At 40.5% G+C, this 15,761-nt stretch overlaps 1 pseudogene, besides 1 other annotated feature; it reads left to right on the top strand.

The window, feature by feature from the left end:
- Positions 3,902-4,401: an enhancer, noted in NCBI's record as "H3K4me1 hESC enhancer chr2:224195595-224196094 (GRCh37/hg19 assembly coordinates)". NCBI's record gives its function as "activates a minimal SCP1, AML or CMV promoter by ChIP-STARR-seq in naive H9 embryonic stem cells {active_cell/tissue: H9 hESC(naive)}" and the evidence as "EXISTENCE:reporter gene assay evidence [ECO:0000049][PMID:30033119]".
- TRK-TTT15-1 (tRNA-Lys (anticodon TTT) 15-1) lies at positions 13,609-13,681 on the top strand (annotated as a pseudogene).

Genomic DNA, 15,761 nt, shown 5'->3' with positions numbered 1-15,761 from the left:
TTGGTTACTGTAGCCTTGTTGTCTAGTTTGAAGTCAGGTAGTGTGATGCCTCCAGCTTTCTTCTTTTTCTTAGGATTGACTTGAAAATGCGGGCTCTTTTTTGGTTCCATATGAACTTTAAAGTAGTTTTTTCCAATTCTGTGAAGAAAGTCATTGGTAGCTTGATGGGGATGGCATTGAATCTATAAACTACCTTGGGCAGTATGGCCATTTTCACGATATTGATTCTTTCTATCCATGAGCATGGAATGTTCTTCCATTTGTTTGTGTCCTCATTTATTTCGTTGAGCAATGATTTGTAGTTATCCTCGAAAAGGTCCTTTACATCCCTTGTAATTTGGATTTTTAGGTATTTTATTCTCTTTGTAGCAATTGTGAATGGGAGTTCACACATGATTTGGCTCTCTGTTTGTCTGTTATTGGTGTATAGGAATGCTTGTGATGTTTTCACATTGATTTTATATCCTGAGACTTTGCTGAAGTTGCTTATCAGCTTAAGGAAATCTGGGGCTGAGGCTATGGGGTTTTCTAAATATACAATCATGTCGTCTGCAAACAGGGACAATTTGACTTCCTCTTTTCCTAATGAATACCCTTTATTTCTTTCTTTTGCCTGATTCCCTGGTCAAAACTTCCAGCACTATGTTGAATAGGAGTGGCAAGAGAGGGCATCCTTGTCTTGTGCTGGTTTTCAAAGAGAATGCTTCCAGTTTTTGCCCATTCAGTATGATACTGGCTGTGGGTTTCTCATAGACAGCTCTTGTTATTTTGAGATACATTCCATCAATATCTAGTTTATTGAGAGTTTTTAGCATGAAGCGCTGTTGAATTTTGTCAAGGGTCTTTTCTGCATCTATTGAAATAATCATGTGGTTTTTGTTGTTGGTTCTGTTTATGTGATGGATTACGTTTATTGATTTGCATATGTTGAACAAGCCTTGCATCCCAGGGATGAAGCTAACTTGATCGTGGTGGATAAGCTTTTTGACGTGCTGCTGGATTCAGTTTGCCAACATTTTATTGAGGATTTTCACATCGATGTTCATCAGGGATATTGCTCTAAAATTCTCTTTTTTTGTTGTGTCTCTGCCAGATTTTGGTATCAGGATGATGCTGGCTGGCCTCATAAAATGAGTTAGGGAGGAGTCCTTCTTTTTCTATTGATTGGAATAGTTTCAGAAGGAATCGTACCAGCTCCTCTTTGTACCTCTAGTAGAATTCAGCTGTGAATCCATCTGGTCCTGGACTTTTTTTGGTTGGTAGCCTATTAATTATTGCCTCAATTTCAGAGCCTGTTATTGGTCTATTCAGAGATTCGACTTCTTCCTGCTTTAGTCTTGGGAGGGTGTATGTGTCCAGGAATTTATCCATTTCTTCTAGAATTTACTAGTTTATTGGCATAGAGGTGTTTATAGTATTCTCTGATGGTAGTTTGTATTTCTGTGGGATCAGTAGTGATATCCCCTTAATCATTTTTTATTCTGTCTATTTGATTCTTCTCTCTTTTCTTCTTTATCAGTCTTGCTAGTGTTCTATCAATTTTGTTGATCTTTTCAAAAAGCCAGCTCCTGGATTCACTGATGTTTTTGAAGGGTTTTTTGTGTTTCTGTCTCCTTCAGTTCTGTTCTGATCTTAGTTATTTCTTGCTTTCTGGTAGCTTTCGAGTTTGTTTGCTCTTGCTTCTCTAGTTCTTTTAATTGTGATGTTAGGTTGTCTACTTTAGATCTTTCCTGATTTCTCTTGTGGGCATTTAGTGCTATAAATTTCCCTCTACACACACTGCTTCAAATGTGTCCCAAAGATTCTTGTACATTGGGTCTTTGTTCTCATTGGTTTCAAAGAACATCTTTATTTCAGACTTCATTTCGTTATTTACCCAGTGGTCATTCAGGAGCAGGTTGCTCAGTTTCCATGTAGTTGTGTGGTTTTGAGTGAGTTTCTTAATCCTGAGTTCTAATTTGATTGCACTGTGGTCTGAGAGACAGTTTGTTGTGATTTCTGTTCTTTTATATTTGCTGAGGAGTGCTTTACTTCCAATTATGTGGTCAATTTTAGAATAAGTGTGATGTGGTGCTGAGAAGAATGTATATTCTGCTTAATTGGGGTGGAGAGTTCTGTAGTTGTCTATTACATCCACTTGGTGCAGGGCTGAGTTCAAGTCCTGGATATCCTTGTTAACTTCGTGTCTCATTGATCTGTCTAATATTGACAGTGGGGTGTTAAAGTCTCCCATTTTTATTGTGTGGGAGTCTAAGTCTCTTTGTAGGTCTCTAAAGACTTGCTTTATGAATCTGGGTGTTCCTGTGTTGGGTGCATATATATTTAGGATAGTTAGCTCTTCTTGTTGAACTGATCCCTTTACCATTATGTAATGGCCTTCTTTGTCTCTTTTGATCTTTGTTGGTTTAAAATGTGTTTTATCAGAGACTAGGATTGCAACCACTGCTTTTTTTTTTTCTTTCCATTTGCTTGGTAGATCTTCCTCCTTTCCTTTATTTTGAGCCTATGTGCGTCTCTGCATGTGAGATGGGTCTCCTGAATACAGTACACTGATGGATCTTGACTCTTTATCCAATTTGCCAGTCTCTGTCTTTTAATTGGGGCATTTAGTCCATTTACATTTAAGGTTAATATTGTTATGTGTGAATTTGATCGTGTCATTATGATATTCGCTGATTATTTTGCCCATTAATTGATGCAGTTTCTTCATAGCATCAATGGTCTTTACAATTTGGCATGTTTTTGCAGTGGCTGGTACTGGTTGTTCCTTTCCATGTTTAGTGCTTCATTGAGGAGCTCTTCTAAGGCAGGCCGGGTGGTGACAAAATTTCTCAGCATTTGCTTGTGTGTAAAGTATTTTATTTCTCCTTCACTTATGAAGCTTAATTTGGCTGGATATGAAATTCTGGGTTGAAAATTCTTTTCTTTAAGAATGTTGAATATTGACCCCCACTCTCAACTGGCTTGTAGGGTTTCTGCCAAGAGATCTGCTGTTAGTCTGATGGGCTTCTCTTTGTGGGTAACCCAACCTTTCTCTCTGGCTGCCTTTAACATTTTTTCCTTCATTTCAACTTTGGTGAATCTGACAATTAAGTGTCTTCAGGTTGCTCTTCTCAAGGAGTACCTCTGTGGTGTTCTCTGTATTTCCTGAATTTGAATGTTGGCTTGCCTTGCTAGGTCGGGAAAGTTCTCCTGGATAATATCCTGAACAGTGTTTTCCAACTTGGTTCCATTCTCCCCCTCACTTTCAGGTACACCAGTCAAACGTAGATTTGGTCTTTTCACATTGTCCCATATTTCTTGGAGGATTTGTTTGTTTATTTTTACTCCTTTTTCTCTAGTCTTGTCTCCTAGATTTATTTCATTAATTTGATCTTCAATCACTGATATCCTTTCTTCCACTTGATTGAATTGCTATTGAAGCTTGTGCATGCATCACGAAGTTCTCATGCCATGGTTTTCAGCTCCATCAGGTCATTTAAGGTCTTCTCTACACTGTTTATTCTAGTTAGCCATTCGTCTAACCTTTTTTCAAGCTTTTTAGCTTCCTTGCTGTGGGTTAGAACATGCTCCTTTAGCTTGGAGAAGTTTGTTGTTACCGACCTTCTGAAACTTACTTCTGTCAACTTGTCAAAATCATTCTCCGTCCAGCTTTGTTCCATTGCTGGTGAGGAACTGTGATCCATTGGAGGAAAAGAGGTGCTCTGGTTTTTAGAATTTTCAGCTTTTCTGCTCTGGTTTCTCCCCATCTTTGTGGTTTTATCTACCTTTGGTCTTTGATGTTGGTGACCTACAGATGAGGTTTTGGTGTGGATGTCCTTTTCATTGATGTTGATGTTATTCCTTTCTGTTTCTTAGTTTTCCTTCTAACCGTCAGGTCCCTGAGCTGCAGGTCTGTTGGAGTTTGCTGGAGGTCCACTCCAGACCCTGTTTGCCTGGGTATCACCAACAGAGGCTGCAGAACAGCAAATATCGCTGCCTGATCCTTCCCCTGGAAGCTTCGTCCCAGAGGGGCACCCACCTGTATGAGGTGTCTGTTGGACCCTACTGAGAGGTGTCTCCCAGTTAGGCTACACAGGGATCAGGGACCCACTTGAGGAGGCAGTCTGTCCATTCTCAGAGCTCAAATGCCATGCTGGGAGAACCATTGCTCTCTTCAGAGCTGTCAGACAGGGACGTTTAAGTCTGCAGAAGTTTCTGCTGCCTTTTGTTCAGCTATGCCCTGCCCACAGAGGTGGAGTCTATAGAGGTGGTAGGCCTTTCTGAGCTGTGGTGGGCTCCGCCCAGTTCAAGCTTCTCAGCTGCTTTGTTTACCTACTCAAGCCTCAGCAATGGTGGATGCCCCTCCCCCCGCCAGGCTGCAGCCTCACAGAGCAATCTCAGACTGCTACGCTAGCAGTGAGCAAGGCTCCATGGGTGTGGGACCTGCCAAGCCAGGCACAGGAATGAAACTCCCGGTCTGCTGGTTTCTAAGACCATGGGAAAAGCGCAGCATTTGGGTGTGAGTGTACCGATTTTCCAGGTACAGTCTGTCACAGCTTCCCTTGGCTAGGAAAGGGAAATTCCCCAACTCCTTGTGCTTCCTGAGAGAGGCAACTCCCCGCCCTGCTTCAGCTCGCCCTCCGTGGGCTGCACCCACTGTCCAACCAGTCCCAATGAGATGAACCAGGTACTTCAGTTGGAAATGCAGAAATCACCCATCTTCTGTGTTGATCACGCTGGGAGCTACAGATGGGAGCTGTTCCTATTTGGCCATCTTGGAACAGAACTGTTTTTGCTTTTCTTTTAGTAGAGATGGGGTTTCACCATGTTTGCCAGGCTGGTCTTGAACTCCTGACTTCAGGTGAACTGCCCACCTCAGCCTCCCAAAGTGCTGGGATTACAGGCATGAGCCACCATGCCCAGCCAAATTATACTCTAAATGTATTTGCTGACAATATAGGTGAAGCCTTTTTCCCGTAATTACTTTATGTATTTGCAGATGAGAATTGTTCAACTGTAGAATGAGTTGTGGTTGAGCATCAATATTATTTGTATTTTTCATTTTTAAAAATAGGAGCCCTGAGAAACATTGTTCTCAAAAATGTGTACCTAGAAATGCACATTTTATTAGAGCCATTTGGTCCATCTCTTTAAAATCCACCATGACTCCATGCTAAAATCACACAGTGATTTTCCATAAAAAATTATAAATTATGTTTATGTTCAGCCAGGTGCAGTGGCTCATGCCTGTAATCCCAGCACTTTGAGAGGCCAAGGCGGGCAGATCATGAAGTCAGGAGGTCAAGACCAGCCTGACAACCATAGTGAAACCCCATCTCTACAAAAAATACAAAAATTAGCCAGGTGTGGTGGCGCACACCTGTAATCCCAGATACTTGGGAGGCTGAGACAGGAGAATCGCTTGAACCCAGGAGGCAGAGGTTGCAGTGAGCCGAGATCACGCCACTGCACTGAAGCCTGGGCGGCAGAGTGAGACTCTGTCTCAAAAAAAAAAAAATTATGTTTATGTTCAATTAATTGGCAACTCAGGTCCTCCTTCATTATTTTTTAAAGTATTTTTAAAATTAGGGAAAAACTAAATGACTTGTTAACCATCTTTAGAGTCATTTCTCAGTTACTGCAGAAGCTTTACTAAGATTTATAAAATGACAATTATACTGATGACTTGGAGAGATATTCAGTGTTAACTTGTAAGACAAGGAATCAACCAACACAGAGTACTGGACCCTGGTCTTTGTGCTAGAGCAGGTCCTGCAGACCCCTGTAATGCAAGGTACCAACCTTACAGCTGCTAGATTATGAAGTCTGACAGGTTCCAGGTCCCTGGGAAGGGGCTAGGGCTCCTAGGATTCAGGGCGATAAACATTTACCAACCATTGAGAAAGTATGTCAATACTTTAACAAAAAAAAACTTCCTGTTATGCTTTTCCTCAGTGACAAACCGTATTACAATGCACTCAGAAAGAATGGGGAAAATACAAGTATTTCAACTCACCCGTGCCAGTACAAAATTTTTTATAAAATCTATTTGTCTCATTATGTGCCTTAAATATATTTTCATCATAACCTTGGAGCTGCTGATTTGGCTCATTCAAGTTATAGACAGCATCCATCATCTAATCTAATTGAAAAAGCCAGTCTTCATTATCAGTAAAATCAGATGAGTTTTCTGTTAGGAAAAGTCTTTTCAATTTAAATTGCTGTGTTGAGATGCATTCCCATGACAACCATCTCACTTCTTAACACTAATCTTAACACTAATGGATAAAACATGGTACTCAGGCACAAGGAAATAAGGCACAGTGGACTTCAACAACCTCATCTTTGCTTTGCTCTCAAGGGAACCTCTTCCCCTAAAGGGATACATTCTGTAGCAATATCCAGGGATAAAAGAGAGAGGTCATTAAAAGGAAATTGTTGGTAGTCCTGCCTTTTCCTTCAGTGTACATGAATTCCGAACATCTTAGCACAAATCAAGATACCACATGTCTCTAACTTCATGCTTTGCCCTTAAAAAGGCATAATGGTTCTTTTAAGGGCAAAGCATGGAGTTAGGCATCCAAGAAAAACCACAAAGCTGGCCATCAGTGTTTTGAGTTGGCCATTTGTTTTTGCTCTACAGGTTTGTACACACAAAATAACAATACATCATAGAAAAATGCTGTTTGTGTGGGAGGTACACCATTTTCTTGCAAAGTGACAGGAAGGAGACTGAGATGGGAAAATGAGAAAGCAGAAGCAACGCAGGTTTATTGTAGGATGCAAGTTAAGGATCTGGAAATTAATTTCTTTAAAAATGTGTACACTCAGGTATCTTTTGTGAGGTTTTGTATACCTGTAGGGGTATGTGGGCCTCAATTTGAAGGCTACCAGACAAAATGGTCTTTAAGACTTGTCCTCTTTTCGGTCATGCTCTAGATAAGATCTTGGTCATTTTATTGAATGTAACTATAATTTAAAAATTGGGGCCAGGCGTGGTGACTCACGCCTGTAATCCCAGCACTTTGAGAGGCCAAGGTGGGCAGATCACAAGGTCAGGAGTTTGAGACCAGCCTAGCCAACATAGTGAAACCCCATCTCTACTAAAAAATACAAAAATTAGCTGGGCATGGTGGTGTGCACCTGTAGTCCCAACTACTTGGGAGGCTGAGGCAGAAGAATCGCTTGAACCTGGGAGGCAGAGGTTGTGGTGAGCCAAGATTGCACTACTGCACTCCAGCCTGGGCAACAGAGCAAGACTCTGTCTCAAAAAAAAAAAAAAAAAAATTGGAGCAGAAGATTCCATCGGGTGCTATGCTGACCAAAGTAGGCTACTCTGCACCCAGACTTACACTATTGATCCATAGCTACTTGGGCTGATGCTGTGAATTGTTTTCAGTGGTGAAGATAGCTTTTCCCTGGGTCATCCTCATTCTTCCTCTTCTCCTTCTGACCCCTACAGAGCACACATTTGTCAGGTGCTGATGGAGAGAAGGGTAGCCTCTGGGAGTGCAATAGAACCAAGTTCTATGGCAAATGTAGTGACAGCATGAACATCCTGATATTTTGGATCAGACACAGAAACATGAATAGGGTGCCATAATATCAGGAACGGAGACCTCTATTAAACCCTGATGGTGTGTGTGTGTGTGTGTGTGTGTGTGTGTGTGTGTAGCAGGGATTGGGTGAGAAGATAAGTAGTCCTTGCAAATAATTTATATAATATTCCAGATAAGGCCTCAATAAGGCCATTCTATTCCTGGCCTCACAAATGTGATGAACCTTAATGAGGTCACTAATATCCTGGATTAAAAATCTAAATTTTGTTTTCTCAAAATTACTTTATTTCATGGGATCCAAAAAGTTATTGATTTTAGACATGTTAAAATGTGAAGAATTAAAAGGAAACTGGGTATGATTTGACAGTTCACTTGTGGGGTGGGGTTGACCAAACTGTGTGCATGATTTATAATAAGCCATCTCACAAGGACTTGAGAGATAAGTCAGATGGGCAAAATGAACACTTTCCCAAGAATGGCATATTTGTGTCCATATACCAGGAATGACCTCCTCATGAATTTCGTAGATGCCTAGGAAATTCTATCAGGCTTCAGAAGATTGCTAAATGATTAAAAATCAGAGCAAAGGGATTTGGCTGATCTTGGGGGATCTTTACTTTTGGATAGAAAGAAGTCTGATGCATGAGTTTTGCTTCACTCCTGGGACCTCATTCTAACAACTAGCATACCTGTATCTGAAAGATCCATGGTTTTAGGTATGTCTTAGACGGGCGTATGTCCTTGAAAAATACATGTACATTTTTGGGTAGGTGTATCCTTAGTGTCTTTTTTTTTTTTTCTGACAGAGTCGTGCTCTTGTCACTCAGACTGGAGTGCAATGGCACGATCTCGGCTCACTGCAACCTCTGCCTCCCAGGTTCAAGCAATTCTCCTGCCTCAGACTCCTGAGTAGCTGGGATTACAGGCACCTGCCACCATGCCCGGCTAATTTTTGTATTTTTAGTAGAGATGTTTCGCCATGTTGGCCAGGCTGGTCTCGAACTCCTGACCTCATGATCCGCCCACCTCTGCTTCCCAAAGTGCTGGAACTATAGGCGTGAGCCACCGCGCCCAGCTGGTGTATCCTTAATTTTCATAAATTATGCTATTAATTTTAAAAATGTGTTAAATGGCAATGTAAAATGGTGCAGCCACTATGGAAATTAACTTGGCAGCTCCTCATAAAATACACAATTATATGACCCAACAATTCTACTCTTGAATATATACCCAGAAGAATTGAAACAAGGTGTTCAAACAAACACTTGAACACAAATGTCCATAGCTACACTATTTACAATAGTCAAAGGTGAAAACAATTCACATGTCCATCAACTGATAAATGGTTAAACAAAGTGTGGTATATTCCTGTAACGGCAAGTTATTCAACCACAGAAAAAACGAGGAACTGATACATGCTACATTATGTATGGACCATGAAAACATGATGCTAAGTGAAAGATGCCAGACACAAAGACCACATATCGGATGATTTCATGTATATGAAATATCCAGAATAGGCAAATCCATGAGACAGAAAGCACACTGGTGGTTCCCAGCAGCTATGGGAAGAGGAGATAAGTGCCTGCTTAATGGTCATGGGATTTCCTTTAGGAGGGATGAAAATGTTTTGGAACAAGACAGTAGTCATAGTTCCTCAACATTGTGAAATATTAAATGTCACTAAATTGTGCACTTTAAAATGGTTAAAATGCTAAATTTTATGGTATGTGTATTTTACCACAATTAAAAAAATTATATACACACAGGTGCACAAACTTGCTAGCCATCTCAACACTTTCTCCTGTTACTCAGGAACAAATTTTCAAACTCTTCACTTTGTGGTGCTTTGAAAATGGCATTTGTGTTAAGGGCAGCATTACTTCCTTTTTTATAAAAAGGAAAAACAAAAAAAAACCCTGAATCACCCCAATTAAACCCTATAGGGAGTAACAGAATATCACAAAAAGATGAGTAGATCTATAAATGCCTATTACCAGGGGATAGAGAAGCTCAACCTCTTTCCCTCTCAAGAGAAAGATGTGTTACATAGAAACTTTCCTGTTAAAAGCAGGATCTGCCTGTCCCTTCTACGTAGCCTCTCTTCTCCCTTTAGCTCCATTATATATTAAATAGCTTCCTGATGAGATTCTTTCTTGGGTTTCATTTATGTAAATTATTCTTTATGTAATTTGCTTAAAAATTACATTAAAAATTTTGTAATTTTTCCTTGAGTTCTTTAGTATATATTTTTAATTTGCTTGACTTTAAAGCAGAGCAGAATCAGTCAAGAGAAATGTAGAACAAGACAAATACTTCTTTGCTGTCACGGAGCTTTACTATATCTTGTTATCTCAACAGTACCCTGGGATTACGTGTGGAGCAAGTGTTAGGTGTGTATGCATTAGACCAACATCAGTCCAGGGTCTCAATGAAAGACAAAGACAGAAAAGGTGCTGCCCTACATACTAGCAATCTCAAAGGCACAAAAGACTGTAGAAGACTAAAAACAATACTCATCAACAGGCAGGTTATAAACAGAAGCAATTCAGATTGTTGAAGGCAATGTCACCTTTTATTCTGAATTATGAATTAAGGATGACAAAAAAAATAAAATAGAAAACCTCATGAAGGAAATAATGAATCTGAACAGTCTTCAAATAAAAATAAAATAAAGTCAAAAACTTCTTGGCCTTATTATAAATTCTTGTTCTTTACTTTTCCAATAATACAGAAAACTGAAACTATTCTGAACAAAAAGTATATTTCCCTTCTCTTAAAGGAGTCAAATCTTTTCTATTTCTATGAAGATGATAGTTCACATGTTGTCTCGTTCCATTTTAGCTGAATTCCCTTTAATGAGTTACTTAAATTTGCTATTCCTGTTTCTTTGTTTGTAAAATGAAAATAGGAACAGCTCACTGAGTTATGGAAAGTGTAAAATAGTAATAACTGCTGACACTTTTGAATGCTTATTACGTGCCAGGCACAATCCTAAGTACTTCATGTGTTATTCCTCCTATTAGCCTTACTAGGCAGGCAGTATCCACATCCCTATCTTTAGAGGAGAAAATAGAAATATCAAGAGTGAAATAGCTCGCCCAAGGCCACACAGCTAGCTAGGGGCTGGACCGGAACTTGAACTAGACAGACTGGCTCCAGATTTGGTGCTCTTGAAAATAATGCTGTACCGCATAGCCCTCTTGCAGACAGGAGGGACTAGGCACTAATAGCTCCCTTCTTCCCTATCTGTAGAATTGTGACAACAGCTTTGCAGATACAGACCCTCAAAGTAGCGAGGACAGAATCTTAAAGAAGAGGAAATAGCACTTCTCTCACTGTCATAAGTAAAGCCAGAAATTGCATTTTTTCCTGAACCCCATTCTGAAGGAAAAAGATTATTTTACACTATCCTGCAGCTGAAAGAGGTCTGGTTAGCCAGGAGAGGAGAGCTGGTGGGAAGGCAGTCACAGGAAGGGGTTGCTGTTTCCTGAGGCTGCCCCTGCCCCCCAACCCTGCCTGTGCTGCAGGAAAATGCGGGCAGTCCACCGTGAGCATTGAGGCAGGGAAGCAGCAGAAGGTGAAAAGCTATGCCCTGCCCAGCCATAGTGGAGCCAGGAGGGAGCTGCAAAAGGAAAAGTCAGAAATACCAAATCTCTCTTCATTTATACTTTTGTGATATATATATATATACACACACACACACACACACATATATATATATACACATATATATATACACACACACACACATATATATACACATATATATATACACATATATATACACACATATATATACACATATATATATACACATATATATATACACACACTAGCAATTTCAAAGGCACAAAAGACTGTAGAAGACTATGCACTAGCAATTTCCTATGCACTAGCAATTTCAAAGGAGGTAGACTACACCAAATATTTATATATATGTATATTTTTTCTTTTTCTTTTTTTATTTTTATTTTTTATTATTATACTTTAAGTTTTAGGGTACATGTGCACAACGTGCAGATTTGTTACATATGTATACATGTGCCATGTTGGTGTGCTGCACCCATTAACTCGTCATTTAGCATTAGGTATATCTCCTAATGCTATCCCTCCCCCCTCCCCCCACCCCACAACAGTCTCCGGTGTGTGATCTTCCCCTTCCTGTGTCCATGTGTTCTCATTGTTCAATTCCCACCTATGAGTGAGAATGTGCGGTGTTTGGTTTTTTGTCCTTGAGATAGTTTGCTGAGAATGATGGTTTCCAGCTTCATCCATGTCCCTACAAAGGACATGAACTCATCCTTTTTATGGCTGCATAGTATTCCATAGTGTATATGTGCCACATTTTCTTAATCCAGTCTATCATTGTTGGACATTTGGGTTGGTTCCAAGTCTTTGCTATTGTGAATAGTGCTGCAATAAACATACATGTGCATGTGTCTTTATAGAAGCATGATTTATAATCCTTTGGGTATATACCCAGTAATGGGATGGCTGGGTCAAATGGTATTTCTAGTTCTAGATCCCTAAGGAATCGCCACACTGACTTCCACAGTGGTTGAACTAGTTTACAGTCCCACCAACAGTGTAAAAGTGTTCCTATTTCTCCACATCCTCTCCAGCACCTGTTGTTTCCTGACTTTTTAATGATCGCCATTCTAACTGGTGTGAGATGGTATCTCATTGTGGTTTTGATTTGCATTTCTCTGATGGCCAGTGATGTTGAGCATTTTTTCATGTGTTTTTTGGCTGCATAAATGTCTTCTTTTGAGAAGTGTCTGTTCACATCCTTTGCCCACTTGTTGATGGGTTTTTTTTTTCTTGTAAATTTGTTTGAGTTCATTGTAGATTCTGGATATTAGCCCTTTGTCAGATGAGTAGGTTGCAAAAATTTTCTCCCATTCTGTAGGTTGTCTGTTCACTCTGATGGTGGTTTCTTTTGCCATGCAGAAGCTCTTTAGTTTAATTAGATCCCATTTGTCAATTTTGACTTTTGTTGCCATTGCTTTTGGTGTTTTAGACATGAAGTCCTTGCCCATGCCTATGTCCTGAATGGTATTGCCTAGGTTTTCTTCTAGAGTTTTTATGGCTTTAGGTCTAACATGTAAGTCTTTAATCCATCTTGAATTAATTTTTGTATAAGGTGTAAGGAAGGGATTCAGTTTCACCTTTTCTACATATGGCTAGCCAGTTTTCCCGGCACCATTTATTAAATAGGGAATCCTTTCCCCATTTCTTCTTTTTGTCAGTTTTGTCAAAGATCAGATAGTTGTAGATATGCAGCATTATTTCTGAGGGCTCTGTTCTGTTCCATTGGTCTATATCTCTGTTTTGGTACCAGTACCATGCTGTTTTGGTTACTGTAGCCTTGTAGTATAGTTTGAAGTCAGGTAGCGTGATGCCTCCAGCTTTGTTCTTTTGGGTTAGGATTGACTTGGCAATGTGGGCTCTTTTTTGGTTCCATATGAAATTTAAAGTAGTTTTTTCCAATTCTGTGAAGAAAGTCATTGGTAGCTTGATGGGGATGGCATTGAATCTATAAATTACCTTGGGCAGAATGGCCATTTTCACGATATTGATTCTTCCTACCCATGAGCATGGAATGTTCTTCCATTTGTTTGTATCCTCTTTTATTTCATTGAGCAGTGGTTTGTAGTTCTCCTTGAAGAGGTCCTTCGCATCCGTTTTAAGTTGGATTCCTAGGTATTTTCACTCTGGTGCCCAGGCTGGAGTGCAGTGGCACAATCACAGCCTACTGTAGTCTCGACTTCCCAGGCCCAAGAGGTCCTCCCACCTTAACCTCCCAAGTAGCAGGGATGATGGGCACAAGTCACAACATCCAACTATTTGTTTTTCCTTTGTCTTGTTTTGTTTTGTAGAGATAAGGTCTCACTATGTTGCCCAGGATGGTCTTGAACTCCTGGCCTCAAGTGTTTCTCCTCCCTCTGCCTCCCAAAGTGCTAGGATTATAAGCATGAGCCACCATGTCCGGGCCACTTTTGATAATTTTGATTTTTAAAAATATTGCAGTTATTTCCATCACTGAATTTTGCGGAGCATAAGGGTTGGGGTAACTCAGTTGGTAGAGTAGCAGACTTTTCATCTGAGGGTCCAGGGTTTAAGTCCATGTCCAGGCATTAAAATCTCCCATTGCAAAGTATTCTTCTCTAAAAGAAGGAAATTTGAGTTACCATTCAGCATTTACAATGGTACCCCAATAGGACCACAGGCACCAGAAACAAAGAAGGAAATCCCGTGATGGGAGATGAGGAAGGCCTGGAAGAAGAACCTGCTGCCCCTTTCTGTTGAAAGTGGACATATTGGGCCAGGGGCTCCTGCTTCAATGGTTATGTATCTTTCTCTCATTCCTTTACAGTTCTGGTGTATTCTCCAGGTGTGTGACCAAGTCCCCTGATCCCCAGCCAGTAAAGGAAGTAGACTGCACCAAATAAAAATATTAAAAAAGACGTAAGTCATAATCCAACATCCTTGCATTGCTGGACTTACAGTGGAAGGGTGACTCATCCGATGTTTCTTTCTACCCATTTTAACCCCATATCTCAAGAACTCAAGGCTATGGACCTCAATTTTCCTTACCACTTAATTTATTCTCTTACAACTGCTTTCCTTGGTAAACTATAAGAAAGGAAGTTTGAAATGAGGGCAAAAATAATTAAACAAGGAAAAAATGTTTTTAAGGATAAATACAATGTCTGCCTTCATCATGTTGTCTCCTCATTACTCTGAGATGACTCGTGAAGAAAGCCCAGTTAAAAAAATCATGCTCGTGGTGGTTCATGCCTGTAATTCCAGCACTTTAGCAGGTTGAGGCAGGTGGATTACGAGGTCAGGAGTCCAAGACCAGCCTGACCAAGATGTTGAAACCCCATCTCCACTAAAAACACAAAAATTTGCAGGACATGGTGGCAGGTGCCTGTAATCCCAGCTACTCGGGAGGCTAAGGCAGAAGAATCACTTGAACCTGGGCAGCAGAGTTTGCTGTGAGCCAAGATTGCACCACTGCACTCCAGCCTGGGTGAGAGTGAGATTCTGTCTCAAAAAAAAAAAAAAAAAAAAGTCATGCTGGGCATGGTAGCTCATACCCGTAATCCCAACACTTTGGGAAGCCAAGGTGGGAGGCTCACTTGAGGCCAAGAATTCAAGACCAGCCTGGGCAACATAGTGAGACCCCATCTCTACAAAAACTAGAAAAAAATTAACGAGGTATGGTCGTACATGCCTGCAGTCCCAGCTACTCAGGAGGCTGAGGCAGGAGGATTGCTTGAGCCCAGGAGTTCAAGGTTACAGTGAGCTATGATTGCACCACTGTACTCCAGCCTGGGTGACAGAGTGAGACTTGTTCTCTTTAAAAAAAATTTTTTTTTAAATCAGATAACAAACAGCTCATCTCATTTTGATGTATATGTCCTGCATTTTTAGTTTTTGACAAGTCCTACCCCAAGTTTCAGTAACCTGGTTCCTCTCTGCATAGCTATGACACTGAAATGGAGGAAGGAGGAAGAGTCAATGAATTTCAGATTGGCAGGGAAAGTCTAAGCACATGTCTAAGGTCTCAGAGCAAAGCTGGTGACTTAATGTGTGGCTGGAGAAATGGTCTAATGAGCTGATCTCCACCTGGATACATCTTCTGCTGCTACGTTTGCAGCCAGCAGGACTCCTAGGTTAGGTTTTATACATTATTGAGCATGTATCCTCAGATTTTCACATGGGGCATATACACCTATCCAATCCTAAAACTAGTCCTTCAGCTGCCACATTGTATCATATTATTTGACCATCTGAGACTAAGCCAAGTGGGAAAGAAATCCTATGTTAAAATTCCAATGGAACTTTTCATATGCTGTATTTCTTGGTTTCAAGAAACCCAAACACCACAGCTGTTATTTCTCCATTTCAGCCACATTCCACAGACCTGGCTTTGAGTCCATATTCCTGTTGGGAATGATGTATTTTGTTTCTAATGCAGTGATCTTCCCCTTAGGACAACCAGTATACATATTGTTAAGAAAAATGAGTGGTGCCCCTCTGTCTTCAGGAAGTGCTTCAGGATTTGTCTTCACTAATAACATACAGCCAACCACAACACAAAAGGGGGAGGAATGAATAAATTCAAGGCAAGGGAAATAAAGATGCCAGAAGAACCAGTGGGCAGCTCTGCCAAGGGCCAACTAGATGGAATTTGCAGAGGCCTCCTGG

The sequence above is a fragment of the Homo sapiens genome, chromosome 2 (genome assembly GCF_000001405.40).
Source record: "Homo sapiens chromosome 2, GRCh38.p14 Primary Assembly".
NCBI classification, from domain to species: Eukaryota; Metazoa; Chordata; class Mammalia; order Primates; family Hominidae; genus Homo; species Homo sapiens.
This window is presented reverse-complemented; position numbering and strand designations above follow the sequence as displayed.